Source organism: Homo sapiens, chromosome 10 (genome assembly GCF_000001405.40).
Source record: "Homo sapiens chromosome 10, GRCh38.p14 Primary Assembly".
Classification (NCBI taxonomy): Eukaryota; Metazoa; Chordata; class Mammalia; order Primates; family Hominidae; genus Homo; species Homo sapiens.
The window spans coordinates 102,660,266-102,673,436 of NC_000010.11; the positions used below are offsets into that span (position 1 = coordinate 102,660,266).

Consider the following 13,171-nt stretch of genomic DNA (forward strand, 5'->3'; position numbering starts at 1 on the left):
AAATAAAGACTTTGGGGCTGGCCAGACCAAACCATAGCCTTGGTCTTGCTAACTGCCTCCGCCTTCCTGCCCTGAGGGAGTAGAGGATGACTCGGGTGGGGTGGTGGACCCTTGCTTCATTGTTCCCCTCCCCAGTGTGGCAGGGAGCCAGGAGCAGTATGACAACAGCTGGCCTACCCCTTCCCTCCCCGTGCACCTGTTTGGGGCTAAAGGGAGTGGGGAAATGACTGGAGCACAGTGCCCCTCCAGCCCAGGGTGCAGGATGCCTGGGGGCAGGTGCCGGTGGACAGTCACTTCACTCCACTCAAATCTGCTTCTGTCTCACTGTCCCTTTCTCCAGTTCTCAGGAGCCCTGAGACATCCCCCGTGCCAAGAGTTGGGAGCCAAGATAAAAAGCTGCCTAATTTCTTTCCCACTTGGCCTAGTTTTGTTTTGGCTGAGGGGAGAGGCCCTTTCCCCAGGTGCGTCAATCCACTGAGATGTGGAGGGGACATTCTGGTGGGAATGGGATGGGCTTGAGCCCCTCCATGTCCCAGCTTTGAAGCCCACTCCAGACAATGACACGCTCAGGCACACATCTATAGGTGAAGCAGCAGCTGCCCAGAGTTGGCTTGGGGGGGGTTCCCTAGGCAGCCAGGGAAGCAGGGAGACGCTAACCCACCCAGCTGTCCCCAGCCACCCAGCTGTCCCTGGCTTTGTAGGAGCAGCTGTCACCCAGCTCCCAAAAGGGTCGGGGCAGAGGAGGCCCAGAAAGAGCTGGGGCTGCCCCAGGGAACAGGCTTATTCAGAAGTCATCGGAGGGGCCTTCTCTGCCCTGAACTGGTGGCCCCTTGGAGGGCTGGCTGCAGCCACAGGTGCCCCAGTGCCCAGCCCTCCCCTCCTGCCTTCCCCCAAAGGCCATCACGCCTCCCCTTTCCGGGAAGGGTTGGGGATCTGACCACGTCTCCCTACCCCACAGACTGGGGCCGACAGCTCCTGTGGCCCAGATGTGCTGAGCCCGCAGCGAGGCCACCGCGAGGGAGTGGGTGGGGGTGGTTTCCTCTGCTGCCTGCCGGCCCCAGCTCTTTCATGTTGCCGCCCTCCCCATCCCAGCCCGGAGCCAAGCAGCTGGGCCGCTCCTGCCCCCTCCCTCGGCCTCGCTCCCAGCTGTCTTTGGGGTGGGGCAGGGCAGCTGGGGAACAGCTGCAAGGCAGGAGCCTGGGGGGTGATGGGTGCCCCCTGCAACTGCCGGAAACGGTCTTTGGGCCAAGAAGGGAGTCTGAAGGGTGGGGGTGGAGAGGGCGAGGCCTAGGGGATGATCGGCTCCACCCCTTCTCCCAGCGCATCTGGCCAGGAGACCCCAGCTCAAAGCCCCCTCCAGCTTCAAAGGGCACCCTGGGGTGGGAGGCAGGAGACGAGGGTGGATGCCCTGACCCACTGAGTCCGCACCCCAGGGCCCCTCTCTCCAAGCTGTGACCTCACCTCAGGGTTCTTAACAGGCCTTGCTAACACTCTCCCACTCAGATCCTGTCATTGTCACCATGGCCTTCCTAAGACACCCTCATCTTCTCCCATCCGAGGGTGGGGGAGAACCAATTCGATTCGCAACTTCAGGACCCAGGACCCATCTAGCCGCCTGGGGGATTCCCTACCCCACCTCTGCAGCCTGTAAATTCTGGGGGAGGAGGCCCTGGAGGGAGGATCAGAGGCATGTCCTTCCCCAACCTCCCACTCTGGCCTACTAAGAAATGGGAGCAGGGCTGACCCTATGAAAGTGTGGGAGGTGAAGGAGCTGGAGTCGTGATTCCTGGGTATCCCCAGACAGACATCACCACACTACAGCCCCTCTTCTAAGGTGATCCCAGCACTTTGGGAGGCTGAAGCAGGAGGATCCCTTGATGAGACCAGCATGGGCAGTATAAGGAGATCCTGTCTCTATAAAAAATTAAAATATTAGGCTGGGCGCGGTGGCTCATGCCTGTAATCCCAACACTTTGGGAGGCCAAGGCAAGCAGATCACTTGAGGTCAGGAGTTCGAGACCAGCCTGGCCAACATGGTGAAAGCCCAACTCTACTAAAAATAAAAAAAATTATCTGGGCCGGGCACGGTTGTTCACACCTGTAATCCCAGCACTTTGGGAGGCTGAGGCAGGCGGATTACGAGGTCAGGAGATGGAGACCATCTTGGCCAACATGGTGAAACCCTGTCTCTACTAAAATACAAAAACTTAGCTGGGCGTGAAGGCACATGCCTGTAATTCCAGCTACTTGGAAGGCTGAGGCAGGGGAATCGCTTGAAACTGGGAGGCGGAGGTTGCACTGAGCAGAGATCGTGCCACTGCATTCCAGCCTCGGGACAGAGCAAGACTTCCTCTCAAAAAAAAAAAATTATCTGGGTGTGGTGGTGGGCACCTGCAATCACAGCTACTGGGGAGCCTGAGGCAGGAGAATCGCTTGAACAGGGGAGGCGGAGGTTGCAGTGAGCCGAGATGGCGCCATTGCACTCCAACTGGGGTGACAGCGCGAGACTCCATATCAAAAAAAAAAAAAAAAAAAAAAGGCCGGCACGGTGGCTCACGCCTGTAATCCCAGCACTTTGGGAGGCTGAGGCGGGAGGATCATGAGGTCAGGAGATCGAGACTATCCTAGCTAACACAGTGAAACCCCGTCTCTACTAAAAATACAAATAATTAGCTGGGCGTGGTGGCCTGCACTTGTAGTCCTGGCTACTCGGGAGGCAGAGGCAGGAGAATGGTGTGAACCCAGGAGGCAGAGCTTGCAGTGAGCCGAGATCGTGTCACTGCACTCCAGCCTGGGCCACAGAGCAAGACTCTGTCTCAAAAACAAAACAAAACAAAACAAAAACCCACAAAAAATTAAAAATTTAACCTGACGTGCTGGCATGTGTGGTCTCAGCTACTCAGGAGGCTGAGGCAAGAGGATCACTTGAGTGCTGGAGGATCCCTTGAGCCTGGGAGGTCAAGGCTGCAGTGAGCTGTGATTGCACCACTGAACTCCAGCCTGGACGACAGAGCGAGACCCTGTCTCAAGTAAATAAAATAAAATAAAATAAATAAAATAAAATAAATAAAATAAAATAAAATAAAATAAATAAAATAAAAAATAAAATAAAATAAAATAAAATAAAATAAATAAAATAAAATAAAATAAATAAAATAAAATAAATAAAATGCCTGGCATGGTGTCTTATGCCTGTAATCCCAGCACTTTGGGAGGCCGAGGCAGGTGGATTGCCTGAGGTCAGGAGTTGGAGACCAGCCAGGCCAACATGGTGAAACCCTGTCTCTAGTAAGAATACAAAAATTAGCAGGGCATGTTGGTGGGTGCCTGTAATCCCAGCTACTTGGGAGACTGAGGCAGGAGAATTGCTTGAACCTGGGAGGTGGAGGTTGCTGTGAGCCGAGATTGCGCCACTGCACTCCAGCCTGGGTGACAGAGCAAGACTCCGTCTCAAAATAAATAAAATAAAATAAAATAAAATATAAAATAAAATAAAATAAAATAAAATAAATAAAATAAAATAAAATTAAAATAAAATAAAATAAAATAAAATATAAAATAAAATAAAATAAAATAAAATAAATAAAATAAAATAAGTCTCCCTGCGTGTTTTTGGAAAATTCTTCCTTGGAGGAGCTTTAGAAACAGTGGTCTCCAGAACCCGGATTCTGGTGCTGGTTCTAGAATCCTCTGGGTCCTGTTTGTTTTTGTTAAGAGGGCAAGGAAGGAAATTGAGAGCACTCTTAGACGGCCTTTGTCTTTTTTTTTTTTTTTTTTTGGGGAGACGGAGTCTCGCTCTGTTGCCCAGGCTGGAGTGCAGTGACGATCTCGGCTCACTGCAAGCTCCGCCTCCCAGGTTCACGCCATTCTCCTGCCTCAGGCTCCCCAGTAGCTGGGACTATAGGCGCCTGCCACCACGCCCGGCTAATTTTGCCCGGCTAATTTTTTTGTATTTTTAGTAGAGACGGGGTTTCACTGTGTTAGCCAGGATGGTCTCGATCTCCTGACCTTGTGATCTGCCCACCTCGGCCTCCCAAAGTGCTGGGATTACAGGCGTGAGCCACCACGCCCGGCCCTAGATTGCCTCTGTCTTATACTCTGTGCAGAAGAGCTGGGGCAGGGCCTGGGGTTCAGGCTTTTCCAGGGCTAAGCTTCCAGAATCTTCTTTGGAGGCTGGGAGAAATGGGAAATACTTCACAGTATGGGGCAGAGGCTGCTAGGGTTGAGGGGCTTATGGTGAGAAGGGATCCGCCTGGACCAGGAAGGGGCTGGCCCCAAGAACATGAGCTTCTTCCTTCAGCTTTAGCTTCCGTCTTTCTTTCCTAACACTGTGTCCTTCCACCTGAATCCCAAAGTCTGTCTTCCTTTCCAGGATAGCATGTGTTCCAACCCTGCTGGAATTCCTACACAGCCCACAACCTCAGGATGTCACTGTCACAGTGAAAGTCCTTCGACATAACCAATAGAAAGCTGATGGACAGAGCTGTGGTCTCTACCATATCCATTCTCTCTTTTTTTTTTTTTTTGAGACAGAGTCTTGCTCTGTCATCCAGGCTGGAGTGCAGTGGCCTGGACTTATCCCAGAGCTCTGCACTAGGGGGGTCTTCGAATGTTTCCTTCACGAGAGACCAGTTTTCTTTCACTTTTGTGTGGTTAATGCCTCTCAACTGTAGCAAACTGGGATATTTATGACTTCTCCTTGCACTAGATCTTCAATAATTGGCTCTTTCTTGAGAAAGGACCCATCTGCTCTGTGATACAGATTTTTTTTATTATTATTATTTACACTGAGGCAAGCAGGGGGCGATACATGAGGTGGTATGCAGCTTGTAGCATGGGGGCTTAGAGAAGGCACAGAATGGCCGGGTGCACTGGCTCATGCCTGTAATTCCAGCACTTTGGGAGGCTGAGGCCGGTGTATCACCTGAGGTCGGGAGTTCAAGACTAGCCTGGCCAACATGGTGAAACCCCGTCTCTACTAAAAGTACAAAAATTAGCCAGGAGTGGTAGCAGGCGCCTGTAATCCCAGCTACTCAGGAGGCTGAGGCAGGAGAATCGCCTGAACCCGGGAGATGGAGGTTGCAGTGAGCCGAGATCTCACTACTGCACTCCAGCCTGGGTGACAAGAGTGAGACTTTAGTCTCAAAAAAAAGAGATGGCACAGAATTCCATCTCAGAAGTAGAATGCAGGGAGGGGTGTTCCAAGAACTGGGTGTAAAGGTGGTATGAACTTCTGGTCCACCTGGAAAAAAAAACAGCAGTGAATCATTTGACATATAAAAGTCCTGGGCCAGGCGCGGTGGCTCACACCTGTGATCCCCGCACTTTGGGAGGCTGAGGCGGGCGGATCACCTGAGGTCGGGAGTTCGAGACCAGCCTGGCCAACACGGTGGAATCCCATGTCTACTAAAAACACAAAAATTAACCGGGCGTGGTGGTGGGCGTCTGTAATCCCAGTTACTCAGGAGGCTGAGGCAGGAGAATTGCTTGAACCCGGGAGGCGGACGTTGCAGTGAGCCAAGAGCACATCATTGCACTCCAGCCTGCACAACAAGAGTGAAACTCCGTCCCAAAAAAATACATAAATAAAAATAAATGTCCTGGCTGCCTGGTTGTGAATTGGTTGTTGCCATCAGACACTACCCATGTGCATGCCTGCTGCAGGGCACTGAGCTGGGAGGGGGCATGGATGCAGATGTGCAGCTTGTGGCCTAAGAGGGACTTACCAGCCACACCAAATGCCAGTCCCGCCCGCTGCAGCTCCCTAGTCTCCACCCAGCACACCATATGCTGGAAGTCAGTCTGCCTGCAACCTGCGTGCTTCCATGCCTCACTGGCTTTGGACTTGCTGACCCTCTGCCTGGACTGACTCTCTAGCCTCAAAGTCTCACCTCTGTGCAGCCCTCGTGGCCCCCGCCCCCTCTGCAGAGAGTGGCTAAGGGGTAATGAGACGATGCATATGAGTGCCAGGTCTGGTGCTGGCATAGGTGACTTTCAGGCATCCGCAGCTATCACAATGTTTATGTTCCTTTGGGCCAGCCATACTCCCATGCACTTCGCTCCCTCACTTTGGATTTTAACTAATTGTGGTTCACAGGTTAAGTTGCAAGCTGCCTGGCTTAATGTCCAACTAGGCTGTGAGTGCCTGGAGGACGTGAATGTGAGTCAGCTCTGATTTTTTTTTCAGGGCCTAGCACAATGCCTGTATGTTTGTTTCATTCATTCATTCATCCAATAAGTCATTATTGAGCTCCTTCTTGTTCCAGGCATTGCTTCAATGTCAGGGATATAGCAGCGAACAAAACAAACTCTGCCATCTTGGAGCTGATCATCTGTGGGGAAGAGCTAGACAATCAACCCTAAAGAAGTCACCGTGAGAGGCCGGGCCTGGTGGCTAATGCCTGTAATCCTAGCACTTTGAGAGGCCAAGGCAGGCAGATTGCCTGAGCTCAGGAGTTCGAGACCAGCCTGGGCAACATGGTGAAACCCTGTCTCTACTAAAAATACAAAAAAATTAGCTAGGCATGGTGGCACATGCCTGTAATCCCAGCTACTCGGGATGCTGAGGCAGGAGAATTGCTTGAACCTGGGAGGCGCAGGTTGCAGTGAGCCGAGATCACACCACTGCACTCCAGCCTGGGCGACAGAGTGAGACTCCGTCTCCAAAAAAAAAAAAAAAAGTCACTGTGAGGCTGGGCGCAGTGGCTCACACCTGTAATCCCAGCACTTGGGAGGCCGAGGTGGGCAGATCACCCGAGGTCAGGAGTTCGAGACCAGCCTGGCCAACATGGCAAAACTCCGTCTCTACTAAAAACACAAAAATTAGCCGGGCGTGGTGATGCATGCGCCTGTAGTCCCAGCTACTTGGGAGGCTGAGGCAGGAGAATCACTTGAACTCAGGAGGCAAAGGTTGCAGTGAGCCGAGATCGTGCCACTGCACTCTGACCTGGGCAACAGAGCAAGACTCCGTCTCAAAAAAAAAAAAAGGCCAGGCACGGTGGCTCATGCCTGTAATCCCAGCACTTTGGGAGGCCGAGGCAGGCGGATCACGAGGTCAGGAAATTGAGACCATCCTGGCTAACATGGTGAAACCCCGTCTCTAATAAAAATACAAAAAAATTAGCCGGGCGTGGTGGCGGGGCGGGCACCTGTAGTCCCAGCTACCTGGGAGGCTGAGGCAGGAGAATTGCTTGAACCTGGGAGGCGGAGGTTGCAGGGAGCCGAGATCGCACCACTGCACTCCAGCCTGGGCAACAAGAATGAAACTCCATCTCAAAAAAAAAAAAAAAAAGTCACCATGAGTTGGCGATAAGTACAGTCCAGGAAGGCAAAGCAGGTGGGGGCACAGGGGATACCAGAAGGGGAGGGGGTGTGGAAGTGTTTACAGGGAGGACTGGGCAGTCTGGCTGAGGAGGTGGCATTGAGCAGAAACCTCAGAATTTGGGGGGGCAAGATCTGGGGGATACTTGGAGCTAGAATGCTTCTGGCAGAGAGAACCAGTGCAAAGGCCTCAGGCAGAAAATGTTGTTTCAGGAAGAGTCAGGGGGCGAGGGCAGCTGGAAAGTGTTGGGGGTGGGAGAGAGTAGCAAGTGATGAGGTCAGACAAGGCAGTGAGGGGACAGGGCAGGGCACAGGCTATGGGAGGGGTTTTGCTTCTGCTCGAGAGATATTTGCTGGATGAAGGGTTTCACAGGGAGAGGGTTAGAGGGTACCCGGCTGTCCTCTTAGGGAGGTAGGACTTGAAGCACGCCCTAAAGGAACAGAAAGCTCAAAAGAGGGGGCAGACATCCCAGGGAGGAGGTCGCTGTGCACACAGGTGGGAAAATGAAATTGTAGGGATTGTGCTTGGGGGAGTAGTGAGGAGAGACTTGGGCACAAAGGCTGTGTGGAGTCCATGGCTGATAAGTCCATTAAAAAGGTTTGGGGTCAGATCAGCAGGGCCTTGAATAACAGGATAAATGGTTTGGCTGGAGGGACCCACAGCAGCAGGGCCTCTGAAGGCATCTTAGCAGGGTACTGCATTTTAATAATGGCGCTAACCCCTCAAAGGAGGATCAGGCAGGGGAGTCCAGCCCAAGCTGGGAGGCAGTGGGAGGGCCAAGGGAGAGACAGGTGGGGTTCAGGGTGCACCCTCAACCCAGTCTAAGGAGTGGGAAGGCAGGTGGCTGGGTGTCCAGGTCCTGCTGCTCAGCCAAGGGATGGAAGCCTGGATCAAGCTTTCCCCTTCCCTGCCAGCTAGCCATGGGCCCCAGAGTCAGCAGAAAATCCCGGCTCCAGGGAGGAGGCGGCGTGGAGCCAGAAGCTGCTGAGGGAGCACTGGCAGCAAGATGCCATTGTACATCCGCAATCAAGATGCTTCAGAGGAAATCAAAAGCACCAACCAGGGAAATGATGTGTGCACTCTCTTTCTCTCAAACACACATACAAACTTCTGCCTCCAAAATGGGTCAAGTGAAGGCTGTGGGCGTGGGTTGGGGAGGGAGGGCTGGGAGAAGTGGGGGCCTGGGAGCCCGGGAGCAGGCTGGGCCCTGGTGCCCACTCACCCTCCTGGCATAGGGGATGGCAGCAGCTGCAGGGTGGGGCGGGATGTGAGGATAAATATACACCTCCCATGCATATGGATCATGCTCACAGCTGCCCTGCTTGCTTAGTGTTCATTAGGACCAACTGTTTCAGGAGCAGTGGCAGGCGGGCGGGAGAGGGTGATGTACCCATTCACAGACTGGGGGTAGGGGGGCTGCCTGCAGCTGTGCAGATGCCTCCCCCACTGCCTGGATCAGCATCTCAGCCCCTGAATGCCCCTTCCTCCTGCTTTTTCTTCTTCCGACCTGCTGCTATGCCAGATCTGGAGGTCTCAGGGCGGGAAAGGGGCCTGGGGCATGAGTAAGGATGAAATCCAGGCTGCATCCCCATAGGAGCTGGGGAGAGTGAGGGAAGAGTTGGGCTGGATTGGATCCCTTGGTCCAGGATGGGCTGTTGTTTACAAACCAAAGCTTCTTATCCCCATCTTCCCAGAAGCCATCTGTAGCATTCCAGCAGGAAAACTGCTTTGGCACTGTCCCCTGGAGACTCGAGGGAAGCCCCATTCCTATGTGACAACCCTAGACCAGGCTTGCTCTGTGCCTCCAAAGGGAATCCAAGGGGGCTGAGGTTGGTGGACCAGCATCATTCTGCAGGATTCTGACGTCCTGGCAGCAAGGAGGGCTAGGGAAGGAGAATGCTGGGCTCCAGCCCGGGACCAGGTGCTCTAGGTGGGCCTGGGCCTGGGCTGGGGAACAGTGCTGAAATGTAGGCCCAGGGAAGGGTCTGGCTGGTGTCACAGGCAGGGCCAAGTGTAGCTGTACAGCTTGTGCCCTACCCAAGGGAACTGGCTGAGGGGCCTGCAGCTGGTGCCACGCCTTGTACTCTGGTGTGGGGCATAATCTCCCACATGAGTCAGTGGTGGCCTGGGTGACAGGCCTCTCTAGTGTTAGGAATGTGGCCAAGAGGGCCTGCCTGTGGACGGAGCCCGTGTGTCTCCTATGGTGAGCTCTTTCTCCTCCTGCTCCAGCGGTCTTGGGGGGCTCCTAGGGCTGTGCCTCCAGGGGGCTGGCACAGGGGCTTCTGAGTCCTGGGTGGAAGTGGAGGCAGCTGATCCCAGGCCAAAGCCCCAACTACAACAGCCTCCCCAGGCCCTTTCCTTGGTTGTAAGGGTGGGGCTGGGCACCTCCTGCCCCCTCTACTGGTGGCATCCAGAGCAGCAGCTGACTCTGGGACCCCAGGGCAGGGTCTTCTGGATCCTGAAAACAGGGTGAGTGGCAAAAAGCGAGGGCCGCCTCTCACCTACCTCCCTGGGGTGGCATCATGGAATAAAATGGGCTTTCAGCAAGTGGGCTGGCGGGAATCACAGTCAAGCCATTTCCTAGCTGTGTGACTCTGGGCAAGTGACTTAACCTTTGTGAGCCTTGGTTTCATCATCTGGGAACTAGGGACAGTAAACGGCTATCTTGTAGGGCTAATCAAAGGATGAGACCCACTAATGACTCAAAGGAGAAGCAGTTGGCTTAGCTAAATGGGATTCTGACCCCAACCCTGTACCTCTCAGCTTCAGGTATCCAAGCAAATTCTCCCTGCCCCCTCCTGGACACAGCTTGCTTTCTGCAGTTCTGTCATTAATATTTCATTTCTTTAGCAAAGGCTTTTTGTCCCTGGGACACTGCTATTCGCTCTGGAGAAGAAACTGTTCCGTGTTCCTTCGTGCAGAAGGATTCCTTAGCTCCTTTTCTGAGAGCAGAGCATTAGGAGCCAAAAGCAAACAGGTATTGTGGTATAAATTTGGGACCCAGCAGTGAAATAGGCCTGAGTTCAAATCCTGACTGTGCCCAGTTCTTCCTGTGCGATCATGGGCGAGTGATTCAAATTCTATGAGCCCCATCCTCATACTGTGAATGACAATACCTACAGTTAACAGTGTCTTTGCGAGGATTAAATAAGGTAACTGTGAAGTACCTGGTGCAAGTGGCTACCTCCTTAACTCTTTCCCCCGGTTCTGACACTGTGGGGGACTGGTTGTTGGCTGCACTTCCACGCCTGTGTGTGGTTGGTTCTGGACACACACACACACCAGTGCTGGACCAGCAGAATGACTGCAGGGAGCCAGGGCTCTCTTTCTCTCCTCCCTGCCCCTGCTCCTGGTGGCTGCAGCTTCTCTGTGTTCTGCAGTGTTGGAAAAGGAAATTACAGAACAGATTGCAATTAAGGGGGATGAGGGGGAGACAGGGACAGAGGCCGTGAGATGCAGCTTGACTGAGCACTAAACTGTGTTTGCGCCTGGAGCCAATCAGGAGCCTCTGATAAGAGCCTTTCCCACTTACAAAGCTAAGCAGGAGGTGTGGTTGGGGTGGCCCTGGGAGTCCCGAAGGGAGGGGGCTGCTGGCCTTGAAAGTCACAGAGCCACATGGGAGGGAAGGTGGGAGGTAGAGGTCTTAGGGGCCTTGGAAAGCCTGGACTCCAGACTTTCTGCCAGCTGTTATATTTGCTACCATTGATTTAGCACCTACTACTCACTGTACGGACATCTCATCTCATCCTCTTGACAACTGTGCAGCATGATTATTGCCCAATTTTGAAGATAAGAAACTGAGGGCCAGGCACGGTGGCTCACGCCTATAATCCCAGCACTTTGGGAGGCCAAAGCACGTGGATCACCTGAGGTCAGGAGTTCAAGACCAGCCTAGTCAATATGGTGAAACCCCATCTCTACGAAAAATACAAAAATTAGCTGGGGATGGTGGCACATGCCTGTAATCCCAGCTATTCGGGAGGCTGAGGCAGGAGAATCGCTTGAACCTGGAAGGTGGAGGTTGCAGTGAGCCGAGATCGTGCCACTGAATTCCAGTCTGGGCAGAAGAGCGAAACTCCGTCTCCAAAAAAAAAAAGAAAAGAAAAAGAAACTGAGGCATGGAATGTTCCTTCTATGTGCTAGGTATTGTCCTAGATCTAGGCACTTTGTTTACATGAGATCTCTTTTAAATCTCCCTGTGCTGACCTAGTCAACATGAAAATGCTGGGATTATGGGCATAAGCCACCGCACCCAGCCACACTTTTTAATTGCACTGCGCTGTCCCTTTTTTGGGCAGGGAGTGCTGGGAAGGGTTTTGCCAGCTTTATCAAAACAAAACCAAAAAGCTAGGATGGCCAGTTAAATTTGAATTTAAGGTAAACAATGCATTTTTCTAATGTTATACTGATGTCCCAAATATTGCATGGGATATACTTGAATTAAAAACTATTCATTGTTTATCTGAAATTCAAGTTTAACTGAATGTTCTGTAATGTATCTGGCAACCCTAATTCTTCTTTCTCCTGCTTCCAGCTACCAGCTAGTTCTGCCCACAGCTTGCTCTTTAAAGGCCGGGCGCAGTGGCCCACGCCTGTAATCCCAGCACTTTGGGAGGCCGAGGTGGGCAGATCACGAGGTCAGGAGATTGAGACCATCCTGGCTAACACGGTGAAACCCCATCTCTACTAAAAATACAAAAAAACCCCAAAAGTTAGCCGGCGTGGTGACAGACGCCTGTAGTCCCAGCTACTAGGGAGGCTGAGGTGGGAGAATGGCATGAACCCGGGAGGCGGAGCTTGCAGTGAGCTGAGATTGCGCCACTGCACTCCAGCCTGGGCGACAGAGCGAGACTGTCTCAAAAAAAAAAAAAAAAAATTAGCCAGACATGGTGGTACATGCCTCTAGTCCCAGCCACTTGGGAGGCTGAGTTGGGAGGATGGCCTGAGCCCAGGAGGTTGAGGCTGCAGTGAGTTGTGACTGTGCCACTGCACTCCAGCCTGGGTGACAGAGCGAAGTCCTGTCTCAAAAACACAAAACACACACACACACACACAAATGGTGAGGCCCTTTGGGACCAGCTGTGCTGCTGTGTCTCTAGCCTGCTGAAGGGACAACGAACTCTTCTGCTCCAGAGGGCAGAGCCCGGGACAGCTGCCAACTCTGCACCTTCCATGTAACACTGGGCAGGTCTGTTCCCTCTCGGAACCCTCTGTAAATGGAAGATCCAGTATTAGGTACTATGTAACTGCAAGTCTCCCTGAAGGCCCTAACTTTGCTAATTATTTCTTCTCCCTTTTTCCTGTCTGTTGGGCTGGACTTGGCCAAGGATGAAACCCAGTCTATGGTTGTGCTGTGTGAGCAGAGGACACCCAACACCTGGGGCAGGGAACCCAGGGGAGCAGTGCTTGTCAGAGGCTGAGGGGAGGAGGCTGGGCAGAAGTAGCACTCAGAGGCTGGGGGGGCTGAGGCTGCTGGGAGATGAGCCATTGACAAATTTTTTTTTTTTTTTTTTTTTTGCAATGGAGTTTTCTCCTGTTGCCCAGGCTGGAGTGCAATGGCACGATCTCAGCTCACTGCAACCTCTGACTCCTGGGTTCAAGCAATTCTCCTGCCTCAGCCTCCCAAGCAGCTGGGATTACAGGCACGTGCCACCACGCCCGGCTAATTTTGTATTTTTAGTAGAGACGGGATTTCACCATGTTGGTCAGGCTCGTCTTGAACTCCTGACTTCAGGAGATCTACCTGCCTTGGCCTCTGAAAGTGCTGGGATTACAGGCGTGATCCGGCCTTGCCATTGACTGTTTTTGTTCTCCAGAGGCGGCAGCTTGCTGAGCATTGAGACCCAGGCT

At 52.9% G+C, this 13,171-nt stretch overlaps 4 annotated features.

Annotated features, from left to right (window-relative positions):
* Positions 1,003 to 1,062: a silencer, noted in NCBI's record as "silent region_2769". NCBI's record gives its function as "represses an Ori minimal core promoter by ATAC-STARR-seq in GM12878 lymphoblastoid cells {active_cell/tissue: GM12878}" and the evidence as "EXISTENCE:reporter gene assay evidence [ECO:0000049][PMID:35858748]".
* Positions 8,830 to 9,432: an enhancer, noted in NCBI's record as "H3K27ac-H3K4me1 hESC enhancer chr10:104428852-104429454 (GRCh37/hg19 assembly coordinates)". NCBI's record gives its function as "activates a minimal SCP1, AML or CMV promoter by ChIP-STARR-seq in naive and primed H9 embryonic stem cells {active_cell/tissue: H9 hESC(naive and primed)}" and the evidence as "EXISTENCE:reporter gene assay evidence [ECO:0000049][PMID:30033119]".
* Positions 9,433 to 10,034: an enhancer, noted in NCBI's record as "NANOG-H3K27ac-H3K4me1 hESC enhancer chr10:104429455-104430056 (GRCh37/hg19 assembly coordinates)". NCBI's record gives its function as "activates a minimal SCP1, AML or CMV promoter by ChIP-STARR-seq in primed H9 embryonic stem cells {active_cell/tissue: H9 hESC(primed)}" and the evidence as "EXISTENCE:reporter gene assay evidence [ECO:0000049][PMID:30033119]".
* Positions 10,035 to 10,636: an enhancer, noted in NCBI's record as "NANOG-H3K4me1 hESC enhancer chr10:104430057-104430658 (GRCh37/hg19 assembly coordinates)". NCBI's record gives its function as "activates a minimal SCP1, AML or CMV promoter by ChIP-STARR-seq in naive H9 embryonic stem cells {active_cell/tissue: H9 hESC(naive)}" and the evidence as "EXISTENCE:reporter gene assay evidence [ECO:0000049][PMID:30033119]".